General features: G+C 46.4%; 1 protein-coding gene across 34 annotated transcripts in view, besides 1 other annotated feature; it reads left to right on the top strand.

The window, feature by feature from the left end:
* Window positions 1-21,728, top strand: part of ZDHHC11 (zDHHC palmitoyltransferase 11) — a 64,959-nt gene that overhangs the window by 17,697 nt on the left and 25,534 nt on the right. For 5 of the 34 annotated variants that reach the window (XM_047417747.1, XM_047417746.1, XM_047417749.1 and 2 more), the window contains 6 exons: window positions 2,217-2,372; window positions 2,520-2,648; window positions 5,387-5,502; window positions 9,060-9,094; window positions 17,616-17,703; window positions 20,972-21,006. In XM_047417747.1, the coding sequence (XP_047273703.1) occupies window positions 2,217-2,372; window positions 2,520-2,648; window positions 5,387-5,502; window positions 9,060-9,094; window positions 17,616-17,703; window positions 20,972-21,006 (559 nt within the window). Of the gene's footprint in view, window positions 1-192; window positions 2,065-2,216; window positions 3,426-4,328; window positions 5,503-9,059; window positions 9,095-17,615; window positions 17,704-18,306; window positions 19,479-20,971; window positions 21,007-21,506; window positions 21,725-21,728 lie in introns of those variants that run through there. The other 29 variants (XM_024446212.2, XM_024446210.2, NM_024786.3 and 26 more) reach the window with 22 other exon arrangements.
* Window positions 14,627-15,173: an enhancer, noted in NCBI's record as "NANOG-H3K27ac hESC enhancer chr5:827809-828355 (GRCh37/hg19 assembly coordinates)". NCBI's record gives its function as "activates a minimal SCP1, AML or CMV promoter by ChIP-STARR-seq in primed H9 embryonic stem cells {active_cell/tissue: H9 hESC(primed)}" and the evidence as "EXISTENCE:reporter gene assay evidence [ECO:0000049][PMID:30033119]".

Genomic DNA, 21,728 nt, shown 5'->3' with positions numbered 1-21,728 from the left:
GTCACACAGCCACAGCCCGGGGTCGCCGGGAGCCACAGGAGCTGGCAAAATTGGGAAGACCTCCCTGGACCCTGCGGAGGCAGCGTGCCCAACTGTCCTGCAGCTGGACGTCAGAGCCCTGCCTGCCTCAGACTGCAAGAGTCTGCTGGAGAAGCTGCCCCCACCCGCCACCATTTGATGTATTTATTGCAGCAGCGCCAGGACCCTGACCAGGAGGACCTGGGCCAGAGAAGCCCCTCGGGGTGCAGGACAAGACTGCCAGTCTCAGCCCCAGGCATGGCTGCACCCGCACTGCACACAGCCCGGGTGGCGAGACAGGGAGGACTTGCCTGCCCTTGTTCCAGAACATTCCGGAGCCAACACGGTGTGACATTTTTTTCAAGGATGAGCTTTGCCAGCTCCACGTGGAAGTCCCTAAAGCTCCTCCTTCCACTTCGAAGCGTGACTGATGCCTCCAGGGCCTCACAGCCGCTTCTGAAGCACTTCCTGAAAGCCAGCTCCACCCTGGCGAGGCCCTGACCTCAGCGGACCCAAGCCCAGGACGATGCCTGTTGCGTTCTTCTCCCCCAGTAGCAAGTCACCTTCCCCAGCAGCCTCCATGTTGTCTGGGCTCTCCCTGTGGGGGATGCCAGGGGAGAGTGAGAGAGCAGAGGTGGCCAAGATGGCATGTGCTGCCTTCTCTCCTGGAACATGCTGCTTCCACAGGGCAGTGCCAGTGTCTCCGTGTGAATTCATTGATTGTGGCCTGAGTGAATTCCTGGGTTTGCTGTTCCAGATGATTCTGCAGGGCTTCAAAACCAGCAAGGCCCTGAGCAAAGCTGCTCCTTCTTCTCATGGGCTGAACTCATCGTGATGTCACTGGCTAAGGGGGGCAGCATGGGGTCCAGCCCGGCCCAGGCACATGGAGCTGCGGTCCTGTCAGGCTGAGTGTGGTGTTTGCCTTCTAGGATGGCCCCGAGGCCACCAGTTCCAGAGAGGGTCTGTCACCGAAAGACATCCATGCTGAGTCACCCAAAGACATCCATGCTGAATCCATCCCTCTGCCATTCTGCCTTGCCCCACCCTCTGCCATTCTGCCTTGCCTGGCCCTCTGCCATTCTGCATTACGCCTGATTTTTGGAAGTGTGGTTTTGAGTGTTGGCAGCCCAGTGTCACAGAGGACCATATCTTAGAAATGACCCCAGGCGAGAGCTGTGGCTTTCCTGTTCTATTTGAAGGCAGCTGTTTTAGGGTGCAGCGGGTCCAGGGACACAGAGTGGGCCATGAGCAAGGGATGGGTGCTGGGGCCTGGCAGAGCTGGCAGGCTCTGTGACCCCGGCACTTAGGAAGGGGTGGGCACCGTGACCCTGGCACTAAATAAGGAAGGGATGGGTGCTGTGACCCTGGCACTTAGTGAGGAAGGGGTGGGCACTGTGACCCCGGCACTTAGTGAGGAAGGGGTGGGCACTGTGACCCCGGCACTTAGTGAGGAAGGGGTGGGCACTGTGACCCTGGCACTTAGTGAGGAAGGGGTGGGCACTGTGACCCCGGCACTTAGTAAGGAAGGGGTGGGCACTGTGACCCTGGCACTTAGTAAGGAAGGGGTGGGTGCTGGGGCCCTGGCACTTAGGAAAGGATGGGTGCTGGGGCCCGGCAGAGCCGGCAGGCACTGTGACCCCAGCACTTAGGAAGGGGTGGGTGCTGTGACCCCGGCACTTAGGAAGGGGTGGGCACTGTGACCCTGGCACTAAATAAGGAAGGGATGGGTGCTGTGACCCTGGCACTTAGTGAGGAAGGGGTGGGCACTGTGACCCCGGCACTTAGTGAGGAAGGGGTGGGCACTGTGACCCCGGCACTTAGTGAGGAAGGGGGGTGGGCGCTGTGACCCCGGCACTTAGGAAGGGGTGGGCGCTGTGACCCTGGCTCTTAGTGAGCAAGGGGTGGGCGCTGTGACCCCAGCACTTAGGAAGGGGTGGGCACTGTGACCCCGGCACTTAGTGACAATGTTGGAGCCTCACCTCCCAGATCCATAAAGCAGGGATCATGAAAACCAACCGAAGGCAGCAGGGCCTACGGGGCACTCAGGTAAGGGAGGCGTCCACCTGGGCAGGGAGACATCCCTCGCACTGGCTGTCCCCACACCGCCCCATCCCCAGCACGCTCTGGTCTGTGACGTCCACCTGATGTGGCACCCGTCAGCAGGTGCTGGACACAGTGGCTCTCCCTTGTCTCCCCAGATGTCAAGAATATGAACACGTGGCTGCTGTTCCTCCCCCTGTTCCCGGTGCAGGTGCAGACCCTGATAGTCGTGATCATCGGGATGCTCGTGCTCCTGCTGGACTTTCTTGGCTTGGTGCACCTGGGCCAGCTGCTCATCTTCCACATCTACCTGAGTATGTCCCCCACCCTAAGCCCCCGATCCCCCCAAGGCTGGGTGGTCAGAGCTGCTCATCTTACACCTCTACTTGAGTATGTCCCTAACCCTGAGCCCCCCACGCCTGGGGCCAGAGTCTTTGTCCCCCGTGTGCGCATGTGTTCAGGGTCAGCCTCTCCCAGAAGTGAGATCATGGACAAAAAGGGCAAATCACAGGAAGAAATTAAATCCATGAGGACCCAGCAGGCCCAGCAAGAAGCTGAACTCACGCCGAGACCTGCAGGAGTGGTGCCAGGTGCTTGAAGTAACAAGTTTAAAATGTTCAGAGACAATGGAATGGAATCTATTAGGCAAGAACAGGACATTATGAAATAAGGACAGGTGGACTTCCAAAAACACAAGTAGAAATTCTAACAATGAAATATATTACAGGCAGGTCACCCACTAACCAAACAACTGAAGCGAGAGCTGGTGGTCTTGCTTGGTCTCACAGTGGGCACAGCGGTAGGCGGTCAGTCATGTTGCTGAACGACGGAGGGTAAACTCCCCAGCCCCAAGGAAACCTGTGTTGGAAGTAACAACAACCTCCCTGCTCCTGGCACCAGCCGTTTTGGTCATGGTGGGCCAGCTGCAAAGCGTCTTCCATTCTCTGGGCAGTGGTGGCCCCGAGGCTGTGGCCTCTCAGGGGGTTTCTGTGGACACGGGCAGCAGAGTGTGTCCAGGCCAGCCCCCAAGAATGCCCTGCTCCTGACAGCTTGGCCAACCCCTGGTCAGGGCAGAGGGAGTTGGGTGGGTCAGGCTCTGGGCTCACCTCCATCTCCAGAGCATCCCCTGCCTGCAGTTGTGGCAAGAACGCCCAGCTCAGAATGAACACACCCCACCAAGAGCCTCCTTGTTCATAACCACAGGTTACCCTACAAACCACTGTCCCCACACAACCCTGGGGATGTTTTAAAACACACACCTCTAACGCATATCTTACAGTCACTGTTGTCTTGCCTGAGGGTTGAATTTTTTTTAATGAAAGTGCAATGAAAATCACTGGATTAAATCCTACGGACACAGAGCTGAATGTGCTGTTTTCAGAGTTTTAATTTTGGATGTCAAGGCCAGTGCCTGTATAGAATAGGTGCTTAGGATATGTTTACTGAATGGAATGGAACTAAAGCCTCAGGTGTAACTTCATGGAGACACGCGTCTGCCTTGTAGAATGTTACAGGCTGCCTGTTCCTGAAGCTGAAACCCTTAAGAGTGAGAAGTCATTTGGGCCTCCTTCAAAACTCTCCACCCTTCTTAGAATCAGGAATATTTTTAAAAGTACTTTCTAGAATTATCTAGCAATCTCTCTTATATTTAAATATTTTTGGGTTTACCACCTATGAAGGCTTTTCTGGAGTTTCACTCCACCCAGAATTCATCATCTCTCCTTATCAGGAAATCTCTCACCCTCAGATGCTTAGAGTCAGGGTGAGTCCCCCCACAACAGGAGAATCGGCCGAGGTTGGGCCGAGGCCACATGGTCTCATCCACATGTGCCGCAGATTAAGGGATGCTCAAACTGCCCAGTAATACAAAGTCTGCACTTGTCATTTTTTTCCAACTTTGTGTACAAAATGTTTCCCTGGGTTAAAATAGTCAATGCCCACTGTGTGCTGAGCACGTGGGGTGCTGCAGGCCCTTGTGCTGCAGAGAAGCTGGCCCTTGCCTCAGGCGGCAGAGCAGGGAAGTGCAGTGGGCCTGAAGCCATGCGGGGCTGGGAGGGATGACCTGGTCTGTCCTCTGAGCCAGGCACTGCACTTGGAATGGGCTTCTTGAACGCAAAGCCCAGACCAAGTGTGGCAGAAACATGAAAGGACAGGCAGTCGGCTGCTGTGGGCGGGAGGCAGGACGCCCAGGCCTGTCCCCACCCCCGTGACCCAGAGCCTCCCTGGGCAGTGACTCCAGGATGTCCAGGAGCTTCTTCTCTACCTCACAGGACTGGAGAGGCTGTGGTGAGACGCATCCTGTGAAGGCTGGGCTGGCCACAGGCAGCTCCCCAGGGCGCCCACCGCCATCTGCTCCTCACTGCAAATAGGCCTCTGTGGGCGGCCGCCCCAGTCTCCAGAAATAGTCACAAGACATCGGCTCTCACGGTGTTGGTGTTTAGGGAAAGAAGCATGGAGAGTTTGGCCCCTCCATGGAAGCTCGTGGCTGAAATAGGTGCAGAGCCCATTTTATTAACGTTTGTTAAGACGGCTCTTTTAGATAAACGGGTGTATCAGGTTTTGCTTTGCTTCCCTGGGCTGCTTTGCTGCCTGCAGGACAGGCCAGGTGGGTAGGGCTCTGGCCAGCCTGCTGAGCTGTCCTGTGGGCACTGTGCAGGGCTGCAGGGATGGTGACCTGTCTCAGCCCCATCAGAGGCTGTGCTGAGTGGCACTCACAGCACTCGTGTTCACCTCCTGGGCCTGGGGCTCTCAGCACGCTCAGGAGTGTGTGGTCCCAGGACCCGCTAGCCAGCACCTCGGGGTGGCCGCCCCACTGCGTGGTCCTCCGACTGTGGGGTCTCTGTGCATCCCCCAAGGTGCGCCCCACCCAGTGTCCAGATGTGGGGAACCCCACAGGCCATCTGGACCCTCAGACAGAGCGGCCCCTCCTGAGCTGGTCTCTTACCCCTGCCAGCGATCCCAGGGGATCTGGAGCAACCTCTCAAGCTGCATGGTATAGGGGACCCAGGTCTGTGAGAGACAGCTCATCTCTGACACCACTAACAATGCAGCTCAATGAGGCCGTGGCAGGCGGCAGGGGCGTGGGTCAGCACTGTTCCCCAGGTCGCAGCTGCAGACCCCTCCTGCTGACCATCAGCTAGCTGCAGAACTGGGCCCACAAGGCACCTGCACTCATCCTGACCTCACAGGGCCTGCATGGTGGGCGGAGCAGTTCTCCCTGTGCAGGGGCCGGATCAGTGGCACTGGCCACTCTGCTGAGCTGTCCTGTGGGCGCCGTGCAAAGCCGCAGGGCTGGTATCTTGTCCTGTTCCTCCTTTTCCCTTTCCAGAGGCCAAGAAGATGACCACCTTTGAGTATCTCATTAATAACCGCAAAGAAGAGAGTTCAAAACATCAAGCAGTGAGGAAAGATCCATACGTGCAAATGGACAAAGGAGTTCTCCAGGTACCACCTGTCTCTCTGCTCCATTTCTCCAGGCCTGGGACAATGTCTAAGGTCACTCGGTGGTTGGGACCTCTCAGCCATGCTCCTTTACTTCAGGGCCGATGCAGCCCATGGACTCTGCTGTGTGTGTGTCTGTGTGTGAGGCTCTGTGCATGGGTGTGTCTATGTGTCTTTGTGAACATAAACACCAGTCATGCACCACGGACTTCCTAGTGCAAAGATAGGAAAGGAACTGAGTCTCCTGGACATTTCTATACTGCACGATACATCTTCCAAAGTTGAAATGTGCTTTTTGCATCTTTTTTTTTGAGACAGAGTCTCGCTCTGTTGCCCAGGGTGGAGTGAAGTGGTGAAATCTCAGCTCATTGTAGCCTCCACCTCCTGGGTTCAAACAGTTTGCCTACCTCAGCCTCCCAAGTAGCTGGGATCACAGATGTATGCCACTACGCCCGACTAATTTTTGTATTTTTAGTAGAGATGTGGTTTTAACACGCCAGGCTGGTCTCAAACTTCTGGCCTCAGGTGATCCGCCCGCCTTGGCCTCCGAAAGTGCTGGGATTACAAGCATGAGTCACTGTACCTGGCCTGAAACATGATTTTTAACTTAAGGAAGTTAGTTCCCTTTCCGGTTAAGTGACATGAATTATTATAACTAACTCAAGAAGACATAGAAAGTCTAAATAGACATAGAACAGCCAAGAGACTAAACTACTAATTTAAAATCTCCCAGTGAAGAAAAATCCCAGGCCCTGTAGTCTTCATGCATGAATTCCAGCAAAGATTTAAAGAAAAAATACAATACAACCTACACACAGACTCTTTCAGAAAACAGAGAAGGAAGCAACACTTCCCAACTCATTCAGCAATGCCACTATCAACCTGACACCAAACCAGATATTCATAAGCCAGTACATTCAGGAAACACAGGCAGAGATCACTGATAAGACCTTGGGAAACCAAATCGAGCAGCACGGGGCAGGAATGTGCACTGTGGCCAAGTGATATCACTCCAGGGGTAAGCAGTGGCTTAAGGCCTAGGAATCAATTACTACAGCTCAGCACGTTAGTCCAATAGAGAACGGTAACCACGCAATCATGCCAATCAATGCAGAAAAGGGTTTGTTAACAGCAAGTTCCCATTCATGATTTTTAACAAATCTCAGTGACCTAGGAATGATAGGAAAGCACCCTGTGTACCTGACGTGACATTTACTGGTGAAAGGCTTGTGACCCTCTCTTGGAGGCTGGGCACAGGTGATGACGCCCTTTCCTCCTACTTCTGATATCACAGTCACATTCTGGCCAGCCCAGCATAGCAGGGAAAATGAAGGCACAGAGAATACAAAATAAAACTGTGTTTATTTGCAGACAATGAAACCTAAAAAGTATGTTTTAAGACCTAGTTAAGATAATTAAATCACTTAACAAGGATGTGGGGCACATATTAAAATACACGCTCGCACATCTCTATCCACCAGCAATGAAAAATCCGGGTTATATTTTTAAAACTTCCTTTCATAGTCTAATAAAAAAAGAATAAATTTGACAAACCTTATGCAAATATGTACACTGAAAGCTACACACCATGACTGAGAGAAGTCAGAGACGCTCTATTAAGTGAAAAGGTGTACAGCATTCATAGATTGGAAAAAAATACTATTAAAAGGGCAATTTTCCCCAAAACTTATCTACAGATTTACCACAATCCCTGCTGAACCCCAGCAGGCTTCTGTTTTAGCAGAAATGACAAGGTGGTCCTAAAATGTATATGCAAATTCAAAAGACCTAGGCTACTGTACTAGCCAAATGATTTTGAGAAAAAATAAAATTGGAGAACTTACACAACCAGACTTTAAATGTTACTATAAAGCTGTAGCACTAAAGACAGGTGGCGCTGACAGAGAGAGAGACATAAAGCTACAGTAATAAAAACAGTGTGGCACCGACAGAGACAGATATAGAGAAATGGACCAGAAGAAAGGTCCAAAGTTAAAGCTTTCATTTATGGTCAATTGACTTTAAATAATGGTACTAAAATCATTAAATAGGGAGAAATTATAGTTCAACAAGTGGTACTAGAACAATTGGATATCCACATGGAAAAGAAAAAAGAATGATTGAGTTCTTCATACCTGTACAAAGATTACCCAGGATCACTTCATTCGCCACGGAAGAATTAGCCCCAAATCCATCTGACACCTAAACTTAAAAGCTGAACATAGAACACTTCTAGAAACAAGCATAGAATGAAATCTCTGTGATCTTTAGTGAGACAAAGCTTGTCTTTGATCTGACACCAAAATCACTGCCTATTAAAGAAAAAAATCATAGTTTGGACTTTACCAAAATTGAAAATATTTGCTCTTCAAAAGTCACCATTAAGAAAATAAAAATACAGGCACACATGAGAGATACTGCAGGTTTGGTTTTAGAAAGCCACAATAAAGTAAACATGTCAGTAAAACAAGTCACATGAATTTCTGGTTTCCCAGTGCTTATAAAAGTTACGTTTACATGACGTGTGCAACAGCATTATGTCTAAAAACTATGTGTCTGAATTAAAAGTGCTTTATTGCTAAAAGCTGCTTACACAGACAATTGAAGTGAGCACACACTGCGGGGAAAATGGCGCCGACATACTTGCTTGACCAGGGTCACCACAAACCCTCAATTTGTGAAAAAACACAGTATCTGTGAAGTGCAGTAAAGCAATGCACAATAAAGCCAGGTGTTCATTCCTGTGCAAGCCACAGGCAAACAAAATATTTTCAAGTCTTAGACTGATGTCCAGAATACACAAAGACACAAAGAGCTTTCAAAGTGCAATTGTAAAAAAACAACAAACAAAAACATAAACAAACAGAAAACTCAGTTTTTCAAATGGGCAAGAGGGCTGGACACAATGGGAAGCACCTATAATCTCAGTGCTTTGGGAGGCCAAGCAAGAGGATTGCTTGAGGCCAGGAGTTCAAGACCAGCCTGAGCATCTCTACAAAAATAAATAAAAATACATACATACATATAAAAAATGGGCAAAAGATTTGAACAAACTCCTTACCAAGGTAGATGTAGATGTATAGATATATGGATGCCACATAAGCACATGGAAAAAAATGCTCAACATCATTCTACATCAGGCAGCTGCAAATAAAAACCACAATCAGATACTACCACACACCCAGGAGAATGCTTGTCATCAACAAGACAGACACCACCGAGGGTTGGTGAAGTTGTAGAGAAATTGCAAGTCTCCTGCGTTTTTTTGCTAGTGGGAGTTAAATGAGGGTGTAAAGTGCCACCACACTGGAAAGCAGTTTGGCATTTCTTTAAAAGATAAATGTCTAATACATGACCAGAATCCCACTCCCAGTTTCTCACCAGAGAGAAATGAAAACACGTGCACACGTAAGTGGTTCTGAGATCTGAACTCAGGACCCAAGAGAACTCCAGGTACCATTCCTCAAAACCCAGGAATAATAGACGTCACTTTTATGTAAGAATCAGCTGCATGTCAACAACTTCTTTTTTCATGTGACGAATTTTCTTTTGCCCCACAGCAAGGAGCTGGCGCCCTGGGCTCATCTGCACAGGGGTAAGTTGCAAGCTTCCTGCAGTAGCTTGGTCCTTCTGAAGAATAGCTGTATTCTTTTCTTAACTCAAATGACTTTGGAAAATAATTCACCTATGATGAGACATTTTGAAATCATGGGATGATGCAGTAGAAGATAAAATAGTTTTGTTTAATGTTGTTAAATTATACCAAATTATCTATCTCGATGTGCTTGTCTTACTTGCAGAAACTACATTCTTCACTCCCTTCTTCATAACTAACATCTAAACTAACACACAAGAGTAAGATCCGCTTATTTATTTCTACATCTCTCCATGAACATGTGGGTAGTTGTGAGTCTGAATGTATTTCTTATGATCTCTAATAGTGTTTCATAGACATTGTAAGCTCTGAGAGTCCAACCCATTCCTGAGTCAAGGTGCTAAGTAAATGGGAGCACTGGGGGTGCCTTGACCCGGAGCCCCACCCAACAGGGCCAGGGCTGGCTTCACAAACAGGGTTTCAAGAAGCGTCTTGGAGCTAGTGCTGTGCAGTGCGGTTCGTTTTATTTTGGAAGCTGAGAGTCAAAGGGCACGCGCATTTTCAGTCTTCACAGACTCTTTCTGATGACTTCTCAAAAGGGTGGAGCAGTTCACACTTCATTCAACGCTGTCGCTCTTCTCACTATGAGATACTAACAGTATGCTTAGTTTTATTCAAAGAAAATATATAATGTTTTAATATGCATTTCCTTACTACAATTACGACAACATTTTTTCATGTTTTGACCATTTTACAATTTTTGTTGTGTGAATTAATGTTCAACAGTTGGGCTATTTGGATTATCAAACGTAACAGCTCTTTGCTTATTAGGAACCCTATGGGATCTTTCACAGTGTAGAGGTTGTGGACTTTTCTGAAGCCAAATTTGTTAACATTTCCTTTTGTCTTGCTTTAAAAAGGCGTCGTTACTCTAAGGTTATACAAATATCCTCCAATACTCTTTGCTTATATAGTTATAACTTTTTTATTTTTATTTTTATTTTTTGAGATGGAATTTCACTCTGTCACCCAGGCTGGAGTGCAGTGGTGTGATCTCGGCTCACTGCAAGCTCCACTTCCCGGGTTCATGCCATTCTTCTGCCTCAGCCTCCCTAGTAGCTGGGACTACAGGCACCGGCCACCACACATGGCTAATTTTTTTGTTTGTTTGTTTTTTTAGTAGAGATGGGTTTCACCCTGTTAGCCAGGATGATCTCTATCTCCTGACCTCATGATCTGCCTGCCTTGGCCTCCCAAAGTGCTGGGATTACAGACGTGAGCCACCGCACCAGTCCTAGTTATAATTTTTATTTTTATTTTATTTCAATAGTTTTGGGGAACAAGGTGTTTGGTTGCATGGAAAAGATTTTTAGTGTTGATTTCTGAGATTTTGGTGCACCCACCACCCGAGCAATGTATACAGTACTCAATGTGTAGTCTTTTATCCATCACCCTCCTCCCACCACTCCCCCTGAGTCCCAAAAGCCCATTACATCATTCTTATGTCTTTGCATCCTCGTAGCTTAGCTCCCACTTATAAGTGAGATACTACGATGTTTGGTTTTTCATTCTTGAGTTACTTCACTTAGAATAATGGTCTGCAACTCCAGGTTGTGTGAGTGCTGATATTTCATTCCTTTTTATGGCTGAGTAGTATTCCATGGTATTTACATATATACAGATCACAAATATATATCACATTTTCTTTATCCACTGATTTGTTTTAGGCTGGTTTCATATTTTTGCAATTGCAAACTATGCTGCTATAAACATGTGGGTGCAAGTATCTTTTTCATAAGATAACTTCTTTTCTTCTGGGTAGATAGCCAGTAGTGGGATTGCTAGATCAGATGATAGTTCTACCTTTAAGTTCTTTACAGAATCTCCGTACTGTTTTTTATAGTAGTTGTACTAGTTTACATTCCCACTAGCAGTGTAAAAGTGTTCCTTTTCACCACATCCATGCCAACATCTGTTATTTCTTTATTTTTTAAATTATGGCCATTCTTCCAGGAGTAAGGTGGTATTGCATTGTGGATTTTATTTGCATTTCCCTGTTAATTAGTGATGTTCAGCATTTTTTCCTATGCTTGTTGGCCATTTGTATATCTTCTGTTGAGAACTGTCTCTTCATGAATGTTGCCCACTTTTTGATGGGATTGGTTTTGTTGTTTGTTTGTTTGTTTGTTTGAGACAGAGTCTCACTCTGTCACCCAGGCTGGAGTGCAGGGGCATGATCTTGGCTCGCTGAAGCCTCTGCCTCCTGGGTTGAAGCGATTATCCTGCATCAGGCTCCCAAGTACCTGGGATTACAGTCACCCACCAGCACGCCCAGCTAATTTTTGTGTCGTTAGTAGAGACAAGTTTCACCATGTTAGCCAGGCTGGTCTTGAACTCTTGACTTCAAGTGATCTGCCTGCCCCAGCCTCCGAAAGGACTGGGATTACAGACATGAGCCACCACACCCAATTGGATGATTTGTTTTTTCTTGCGGATTTGTTTGAGTTCCTTTTAGATTCTGGATACTAGTCCTTTGTCAGATGTACAGATTGTTAATATTTTCTTCCTTTCCGTGGGTTCTATTTAGTCTGCTTATTACTTCTTTTCCTGTGCAGAAGGTACTTATTTAAAATAAAGATAAATTAAGCTAAATTGCATCTATTTATCTTTGTTCTTGTTGCATTTGCTTTTGGATTCTTCGTCATGAGCTCTTTGCCGAAGTCAATGCCTACAAAAGTTTTTCTGATGATATCTTGTAGATTTTGCTTTCAGGTCTTAAGTCTTTTATCCATCCTCAGCTGATGTTTGTAAAAGGTGTGAGGAGAGGATCCAGCTTCATTCTTCACATGTGGCTTGTGAATTATCCCAGCACCTTGTATTGAATAGGATGTCCTTTCCCCACTTGATGTCTTTTGTTTGTTGAAGATCGATTGGCAGTAAGTATTTGCCTTTATTTATGGGTTCTCTATTCTGTTCCATTGATCTACACACCTATTTCCATATTAGTTCCCTGCTGTTTTGGTAACTCTAGATTTGTAGTATAGTTTGAATTCAGGTAATGTGATGCCTCCAGATTTGTTCTTTTTGATTAGTCTTCCTTGGCTATCTGGGGTCTTTTTTGGTTCCATATGAATTTTAGGATTGTTTTTTCTAGTTCTGTGAAGAAAGATGATTCTGCTTTGAGGGGAATTGCATTGAATTTGTGGATTGCTTTGGCAGTATGGTCATTTTCACAATAGTAATTCTACCCATCTATGAGCCTGGGATGTGTTTCCATTTATTTGCGTTTTCTATGTTCACTTTCAGCAGGTTTTTGTAGTTTCCATGTAGAGATATTTCACCTTTTGTGTTAGGTATATTCCTAAGTTGTTTTTTTTTCTTTCACCTGTTGCAAAAGGGGTTGACTTATTCATTTGATTCGCAGCTTGGTCATTGTTGGCACATAGCAATGCTACTGATTTGTGTCCATTGATTTTGTATCCTGAAACTTTACTGAATTCATTTATCAGATTTAGAAGCTTTCTGGATGAGTATTTAGAGTTTTCTAGGTATACAACCATATCATCAGTGAACAGGGACAATTTGACTTCCTGTTTACCAATTTGGATGCTTTTTCTTTCTCTTCTCTGATTGCTCTGGCTAGATCTTCCAGTACTGTGTCGAAAGGAAGTGGTGAAAGTGGGCATCCTTGTCTTATTCCAGTTCTGAGGGGCAATGTTTTCAACTTTTCCCCATTCAGTATAATGTTGGCTGTGGGTTTGTCATAGAGGGCTTTTATTACCTTGAGGTATGTCCCTTCTGTGCTGATTTTGATGAGTGTTCTATTTATAAAGGGATGGCAGAGTTTGTCAGATGCTTTTTCTGCATCTATTGAGATCTCTGATTTTTTGTTTTTAATTCTGTTTATGTGAGGTATCACATTTATTGACTTGCATATATTAAACCATTCCTGCATACGTGGTATGAAACCCACTTGACCATGGTGTTATTATCTTTTTGCTATGCTGTTTGATTCGGTTCGCTAGTATTTTGTTGAGGATTTTTGCATCTATATTCATGAGGGATATTAGTCTGTAGTTTTCTCTTTTTGCTATGTCCTTTCATGGTTTGGGTATTAAGGTGATACTGGCTTCATGGAATGATTTATGGACGATTCCCTCTTTATCTTTTGTAATAGTTTCCATAAGATTGGTACCAGTCCTTCTTTGGATGCCTGATAGAATTCAGCTGTGAATACATCCTGGATATTTTAGTTGGCAATTTTTTTATTACTGTTTCAATCTCGCTACTTGTTATTAGTCTGTTAAGAGTTTCTATTTCTTCCTGATTTAATCTAGGTGGGTTGTATATTTCCAGGAAGTTATCCATCTCCTCTGGATTTTCTAGTTTGTGTGCATAACGGTGTTCATATTGGCCTTAAATGATCTTTTGTATTCCTGTGGTATCAGTTGTGCTATCTCTCATTTCATTTCTAATTGAGCTTATTTGGATCTTTTCTCTTCTTTTCTTGCTTAATGTTGCTAATGGTCAATCAATTTTGTTTGTGTTTTCAGAAAACTGGCTTTTTGATTTATCTTTTGTGGTTTTTTTGTTTTTTTGTTTGAATTTCATTTAGTTCTGCTCTGATGTTCGTTATTACTTTTCTTCTGTTGGGTTTGGGTTTGATTCGTTCTTGTTTCTCTGGTTACTTCAGGTGTGACTTTAGATTGTCTGTTTGTGCTCTTTCAGTCTTTTTGATGTGGCCATTTAATGCTGTGAACATTCCTTTAAACATCACTTTTGCTGTGTCCTTGAGGTTTTGATAAGTCATGCCACAGTTATTCAGTTTGAAGAACTTTTAAATTTCCCTCTGGATTTCATTGTCGACCCAAAGATCATTCAGAAGCAGTTATTTAATTTCTACATATTTGTGTAATTTCATGGGTTCCTTTTGGAGTTAATTATCAATTTATTCCCCTGTGGTCTGAAAAGATACTTGATGTAATTCTGACTTTCTTAAATTCATTGAAACTTGTTTTGTGGCCTATTATATGATGTATCTTGGAGAATTTTCCATGTACTGATGAAAAGAATGTACATTCTGCAGTTGTTGGGTAGAGTGTTCTGTAAATATCTGTCAAGTCCTTTTGTTCTAGGATATAGTTTAAGGTCATTGTTTCTTTGTTGCCTTTCTGTCTTGATGACCTGTCTAGTGCTATCAGTGCAGTATTGTGTCCGTCACTATAATTGTGTTTTCATCAGTCTCATTTCTTATGTCCAGTAAGAATTGTTTTATAAATTTGGCAGGTCCCCCGTCCGGGAGGGAGGTGGGGGGTCAGCCCCCACCCGGCCGGCCGCCCCGTCCAGGAGGGAGGTGGGGGGCACCTCCACCCGGCCAGCCGCCCCGTCCAGGAGGGAGGTGGGGGGCACCTCCACCCGGCCAGCTGCCGCATCTGGGAGGTGGGGGGTGCCTCCGCCCGGCCGCCCCTTCTGGGAAGTGAGGAGCCCCTCTGCCCGGCCACCACCCCGTCTGGAAGGTGTACCCAACAGCTCACTGAGAACGGGCCATGATGACAATGGCGGTTTTGTGGAATAGAAAAGGGGGAAAGGTGGGGAAAAGATTGAGAAATCGGATGGTTGCTGTGTCTGTGTAGAAAGAAGTAGACATGGGAGACTTTTCATTTTGTTCTGTACTAAGAAAAATTCTGCCTTGGGATCCTGTTGATCTATGACCTTACCCCCAACCCTGTGCTCTCTGAAACATGTGCTGTGTCCACTCAGGGTTAAATGGATTAAGGGCGGTGCAAGATGTGCTTTGTTAAACAGATGCTTGAAGGCAGCATGCTCATTAAGAGTCATCACCACTCCCTAATCTCAAGTACCCAGGGACACAAACACTGGGGAAGGCCGCTGGGTCCTCTGCCTAGGAAAGCCAGAGACCTTTGTTCACTTGTTTTTCTGTTGACCTTCCCTCCACTATTGTCCTATGACCCTGCCAAATCCCCCTCTGTGAGAAACACCCAAGAATGATCAATAAAAAAAAAAAAATAAAGAATAAAAAAAAATAAATTTGGCAGGTCCCTCATTACGTGCATATATAGTTAGGATAGTGATATTTTTCCTTTTGGAGTGATTCTTTTATCATCGTATAATGTTGCTCTTTGTCTTTCTTAACTGTTGTGGCTTTAAAGTCTGTTGAGTCTGGTATCAGAATAGTTCCTCCTGCCTGCTGTTGGTTTCCATTTGTATGGAATATCTTTTCTGCCACTTTACCTTAAGTTTATTTCAGTCCTTATACATTAGGTGTGTCTCTTGAAGACAGCAGATACTTGGTTGGTGGATTTTTCTCCATTCTTCCACTCTGTATTTTTTAGAAGGTGCTTATAGGCCATTTACATTCAGTGTTAGCATTTGGATGTGAGGTACTGTTTTATTGATCATGCTAGTTGTTGCCTGAATACCTTGGTTTTTTAATTTGTGTTACTGTTTTCTCAGTCCTGTAAGATTTATGCTTTAAGGAGGTTCTGTTTTGGTGTATTTTGAGGTTTTGTTTTAAGATTTGGAACTCCTTTTAGTATTTCTTGTAGGACTGACTTATTAGTGGCTAGTTCTCTCAGCATTTGTTGTTCTGAAACAGACATTTTCTCTACTTCATTTAGGAAACATAGTTTTGCTGAATACAAAATTATTGGCTGTTAATTATTTTGCTTGGAGAGGCTAGAGATAGGACCCCAATCCCTTCTAGTGTGTAGAGTTTCTGCTGAGAAATCTGCTGCTAATATGAGAGGTTTTCCTTTAGAGGTTACCTGATGTTTTGCCTCCCAGCTCTTAAGATTCTTTGATTTGTGTCGACTGTAGATAACCTGATGACCATGTGCCTCGGTGATGATCTTTTTGCAATGAATTTCCCAGGCATTCTTTGAGCTTCTTGTCTTTGGATGTCTAGAACTCTAGCAAGGCCAGGGAAGGTTTCCTTGATCATTTCCTCAAATAAGTTTTCCAAACTTGTGGATTTGTCTGCTTTGTCAGGAACACTATTTTTAGGTTTGGCTGTTTAACATAATCCCTAAGTTCCTGGAGGCTTTGTTCTTTTTTAAAATTATTTTTTTCCTCTTTGTCTGGCTGGGTTATTTAAAAAGCCTTGTTTTTGAGTTCTGAAGTTCTTTGTTCTACTTGTTAGATCCTGCTGTTGAAAGTTTCTGGTGCATTTTCCATTTCTCTTAGTGTGTCTTTTGTTCCAGAAGTTGTGACTGTGTTTTCTTTAGGATCTCTATTTCCCTGGAGCATTTTTCATCTATATCCTGTATTGATTTTTAAATTTCTTTAAGTTGGTTATCACCTGTCTTTGGTATCTCCTTGAGTAGTTTAATAATCAACCTTCTGAATTCTTTCCAGCAATTCTGATTTTCTTCTTGGTTTGGATCTCTCACTGGGGAGCTAGTGTGGTCTTTTGAGGGTGGAATAGAGCCCTGTTTCATGATATTACCAGGATTACTCGTCTGATTCCTTCTCATGTGTGTAGATTATTTCAGTGGGAAAATCTGGAACTCAAGGCTGCTGGTCAGATTCTTTAGTCCCATGGGGTGGTCCCTGATTTGTGCACTGCCCCTTCCCCTAGAGATGGAGCTTCCTGCAAACCAGACAGCAGTGATTGCTATTGTTCTTCTGGGTCTCTCCACCCAGCAGGGCTACCAGGCTGGTGCTGGGGAATGTCTGCACAGAGTCCTGTGATGTGATCCGTCCTCAGGTCTCCCAGCTGTGGATGCGAGCACCTGCTCCGGTGGAGGTGACAGGGGACCGAAGTGGACTCTGTGGAGGTCCTCGGCGGCCGATAGGTTTACTGTGCTGACTTTCTCAGAGGCTGGTTATTCTAGCAGTGAAGTTGTCACATGGGCAGACTCAGGACCTCTGGTTATCCAGGATGTTGCAGGAGGTGGAATAAGCTCTTGTTTTCTCCTTCCTAGGAGCAGGGTTGTTCTGTCATGAGTTGCTGTCATGTCCTGAGCTGACTGGCCTCCAGCCAGGAGGTGGCACTTTTGAGACAGCAGCGGAGTTGTCACCTGTTCTGTGGAATTTGCAGTGGCCTATGGCATCTTCCAAAGGCCCTGTGACTTTTTGTTTTTTCTGGTATGCTGCTGTGGTGGTTCCTGGAGTGAAAGGCCACAGTATGAGTCTCCACATGCTGTTCTGTCTCTCCATGTGGGAGCTGCATATCAGACCTGTCTCCCATCTGCCATCACTCTTCAGAACCTGTCTTAGGCACTGGTGTAGGGCAGGTCTCACACGGTGGGTGGAGGGACTGCTTTGCATTGTCCCAGTGGCAAAGAGTCATGGTCCTTTACACGAGAAGCTTCTTACGTGTGCCACTGCACATAACGCAGGAGTACTTAGACAACCTCCCAGGAGCTGCTGGTCTACAAGTTTCTGAGACATGTGTGCCCCACAGCAGTGGTGCTGACACGACGCGGTGCAGCCTCCAGTGCCACCCTGAGTCCCCCTACAAAGCTGAGATGAGTTTCTCTCCTCCTTTCTGTCCCACCAGAGTCAAAGCCAAGAGCTCCCTGCTGATTCACAAGCACTTATGTCACTTCTGCACTTCAGTAAACCAGGATGGGGATTCGACGGCACGGGTAAGTTGCAGTCACCAGCGATGCACCCCGAGGTCAGGGCCGTGTGCAGAATATGTGGTCTCGGGTCCCCCAAGCTGAGGTTAAGGCAGTATTCAGAATGGAAGCACTCTGTGTCCAATGGTGCTGCTCACATGGGAATGATGGTGGGTGGAGCACAGAAGAGAGATGGAGTGAGAGGCAGGAATGCTTCCCAGCTGTGGGTGACAGAGACAGATGGGTACCAAAGTGGGAGCCCCCAGCACTGGAGCACCACCATCAGGCTGTGGTGATGGGCAGATGCCCAAGGCAGGCTCTGAAGTGCCCAGAACATGCAGCGAGGGACAGTGCTGTGATAAAGGATGGAGGGAAATTGGTAGCCATGGCAGAAGCCATGTGCTGTTTTTTTTTTTTTTTTAAATAAAATGCTTAGGAAAGACTGTGTGTAGGAGACAGATGGGAATAGACGATGTATGTGTGGTCACACGTACAAGTGTATGGTGTGTGGTTGCACATATGTGGGGGGGTGTGGTTATGTGTGTGGTTTTGTGTGTGGTGTGTGGTCACGTGTATATGTGTGTGAATGGTGTGTGTTTGTTACATGGACTCTGTGTCCATCCTTCACAGGAAAAGACCAGCGCGGCTGCCGGCTTTAGGGCCACATATTTCTGTTCCTGCTCTGGGGTCAGCTTCCAGTGGTTTCTGCTGGGTCATTATTTATTTTTTAGAGATGAGATCTCACTCCATCACCCAACATGGATTGCAGTGGTGGGATAATGGCTCACTGCAGCCTCCAACTCCTGGGCTCAAGCAATCTTCCCACCTTAGCCTCCTGAGTAGCTGAAAGTACAAGCGTATGCCACCACGCCCAGCCAATTTATTTTTTATTTCTTAAGAGATGGGATCTCACTCTATTGTCCAGGCTTGTTTGGAACTTCTCATCTCAAGTGATTCCTTGACCTCAGCCTCTAATAGCACAGGGATTAGAGGCGTGAGCCACCACGCCAGGCCGCAGGCTGGTCCTTTTGAGCAGGTTTTGTCATGGGGCCAGCTTCTGGAGGTTACAGGTGTGTTCTCCTTCCCTGTGGGGGCAGGGCCACCTCACCACACTTCCCCAGGATTTCAGGGAACAGGCTCCTGTGACTTGGAAATAAAAAGGGATCAGCCCAGCCTGGAGGAACAGCGACGCTGGTGTCCAAGCCTTGCCCCTTGCCTGCACTTCCAGCAAAGATTTGGAGACACACTCGGTGGAAATCGATTGAGCCCCCAGCCCACCCTGGCCCAGACTCAGCCACCAAAGTTCCCTCACTGCATGTGGCACACGGGCTCATGGGAGTTTCTCTGCCTGTGTTTGTCCACGTTGACACCTTCTGCACAGGTGCATTTGTGAGTCCCCTCAGTGTCTCTGCAGCTTCTATGTGTGGATGAATAGTGAAGCCACATGAGGCCTGGTCTGAAGCAGAGAAGATCCGCTCAGCATCATGTTGAATCCCAAGCCCGCGTCTCCGTGGGCTCCAGGACAATCCTATGAAAGTGACACCGTCGTTCATTGTTCACATCGGGGAGGAGAATTCCATCTGAAAATGCACGTGACTTCACTGACACCCGCGTCCGTGGCACAGCCCTGTGCTGAGCTCCACAGACCTACAGTCCATCGCCTCCCCTTGGAGTGGGCCCACAGCTGCAGACAGTGTTGTCCAAAGAAGATGCTCTGAGTAGATGAATGGAACAAACTGGAAACTCCAGAAACAAGCCCTTCTTTACATTTCTAATGTTTGGCTTAAATGGAAGGTGCCAAGGTGAGGCAATGGGGAGACATGGAAGGGTTTGTAATGAGTGTGGTGCAGCAGCTGCATAACCACATGCCAAACACACACACACAGCTCAGTCCCACCTAGAAAGCAGTGCACAATCCATCAGAGACCTCATAGTAAGAGGGGGAAACTTTAACATTCCTACAAAAATCCTAGAATATCTCCGGGGTCTTGTGTTAGGCAAACTCTTCTTTGATAGATACCAAAAACACTATTTCACAAAACGGATACATTTGACTTTAAGCATTTAAAATTATTTCTTCCATTGTCACCAGTAAAAGAATGAAAATATAAGCCACAGGCTGAAATAAAATATTTACAAGTCATATGCTTTCATCCAGAATATTTAAAGAACCATGAAAACTCAAAAATACACAACAGCTCAGTTTTTAAATGGGTGAAAGATTGAACACGTTCTTCACCAAGGCAACAATATCCATGAGAAATAAAGCCCACAAAATGGTGCTCAACATCATTTGCCACCAGGGAACCACCAGCTAAAATCACAATAAGATACTGCTGCACCCCATTAGAGTAGCTGCAAGAAAGCAGATTAAGGATACCATCCAGGCACAAAGCTTCACACCTGAAATCCCAGAGCTTTGGGTGGCCCACAAGGCAGGAGGATCCCTTGAGGCCAGGAGTTTGAGACCACTATGGGCAACATAGCAAGACCCTGCCTCTAAAAAATATAAATAAAAAAAGGTGATCAATATCAAGTGTTGGTGAAGAGTTTGGAGAACTGGAAGTCTCATCCATTGCTCATGGGGATGAAAGATGATGCCACATTGGCGAGCAGTTTGGCAAAGCTTCAGATGCTGAGCATGTACTTATCATATGAGCCAGCACTCCCACTCCCAGGTTCTTACCCAAGAGCACTGAGAACAACATGTGTGTGCACACATAGCAGGTGTTTTTCTTTGCTAGAGCTTCCACAAGCAGGAACCATGGATGGGGTGTTGCAACAAGAAATGTATTTTCTCACATATCTGCAGGCTGGAAGTCCCAGAGCACGGTGTCTGCAGGGTTGGTTTCTCCCAAGGCCTCTCTCCTTGCCTTGTAGATGGCCACCTGTTCTCTGTGTCCTCTCACAGTCTTCCCTCTGTCTGTGTCTTTGTTATAATCTCCCCTTCATAAAAGGACACCAGTCACTCTGGATTAGGGCTCACTCTAATAGCCTCATCTAACATCCATTACCTCTTTCAAGACCCTGTCTCCACATATAGTCACATTCTGAGGTACTGGGTGTCAGGATGTCAACCTATGAATTTGGAGGAGGATATAGTTCAGCCCATAATACAAGGATTGGGAGGAAGTGTGCTGTGTCACCACTGAGATCCTATTCCATGATCCAGGCAACCTTGATGTACCATTACTCAGAAGTGACTGTCAGAACTGACTAGAAATGGACTTGAATTTTTTTTAAGAATAAGTTCAATGTCAATTCATTCTATGAATTTTGCTTCACTTCCCCACAGGAAGGGGATGAAGACCCGTGTCCATCTGCACTTGGGTGAGTTTGTAAGTTTAATGGGATTATTTTATCTATTAGTAACATAGTTATACACTCGTCTCATCTCGAATTACTTAGGAAAATATGTCATCCATTTAATGTCTTCAAATATCCTGAAGTGCCAGGAGGTGGCACTTTCGAGAGAGCAGCAAAACTGTCACCTGTCCTGTGGAATCACAGCAGCCTGCGGCTTCTTTTAAAGGCTCTGTGATTTGTTTTTTTCCTGGTACGCTCCTTGGTGGTTCCTGCAGCAAAAGTCCACAGTATGAGTGTCCACATGCTGTTCTCTGTCCTGGTGGGAGCTGCACATCAGCCCTGTCTCCTGTCTGCCGTGAGCCCTGCACGCTTTCACTTGATGCTTCCCAAAACAGTTGTGTTGTGTAGTGGAGAAGAGAAGGGTAGTTCACACCCCTTCAGCAGCAAAGAAGCAGTCCTGAATATTGAATCTTTGCAGTTTCCATCCTAAATGGCTTGGCTGAGCCGCCATCTCCTTGTTTCAGTGCTGGGCACCACAGGCCTGCAGCTTCTTAGGCTCTGGGAGGAGGCGCAGTGGAAATTGAGGTCGCCGTGAGGTCGCTCCAATGTCGCCGTACACTGTTGCTGCCTGGCTACCTTCCCATCTCTGTCATCATGGAGAGTGTGGGCAGGGGACCCCTGGCCCTCTTCCTTCTTCTCCTGCCCCGGGGGGAGCAGCAGAGAGCCAAGGGGCTGGAGGAGGGTAA

This window comes from Homo sapiens, chromosome 5 (genome assembly GCF_000001405.40).
Source record: "Homo sapiens chromosome 5, GRCh38.p14 Primary Assembly".
Taxonomy (NCBI): Eukaryota; Metazoa; Chordata; class Mammalia; order Primates; family Hominidae; genus Homo; species Homo sapiens.
The sequence above is the reverse complement of the archived record's forward strand: the minus strand, read 5'-3'. Positions and strand labels throughout refer to the sequence as shown.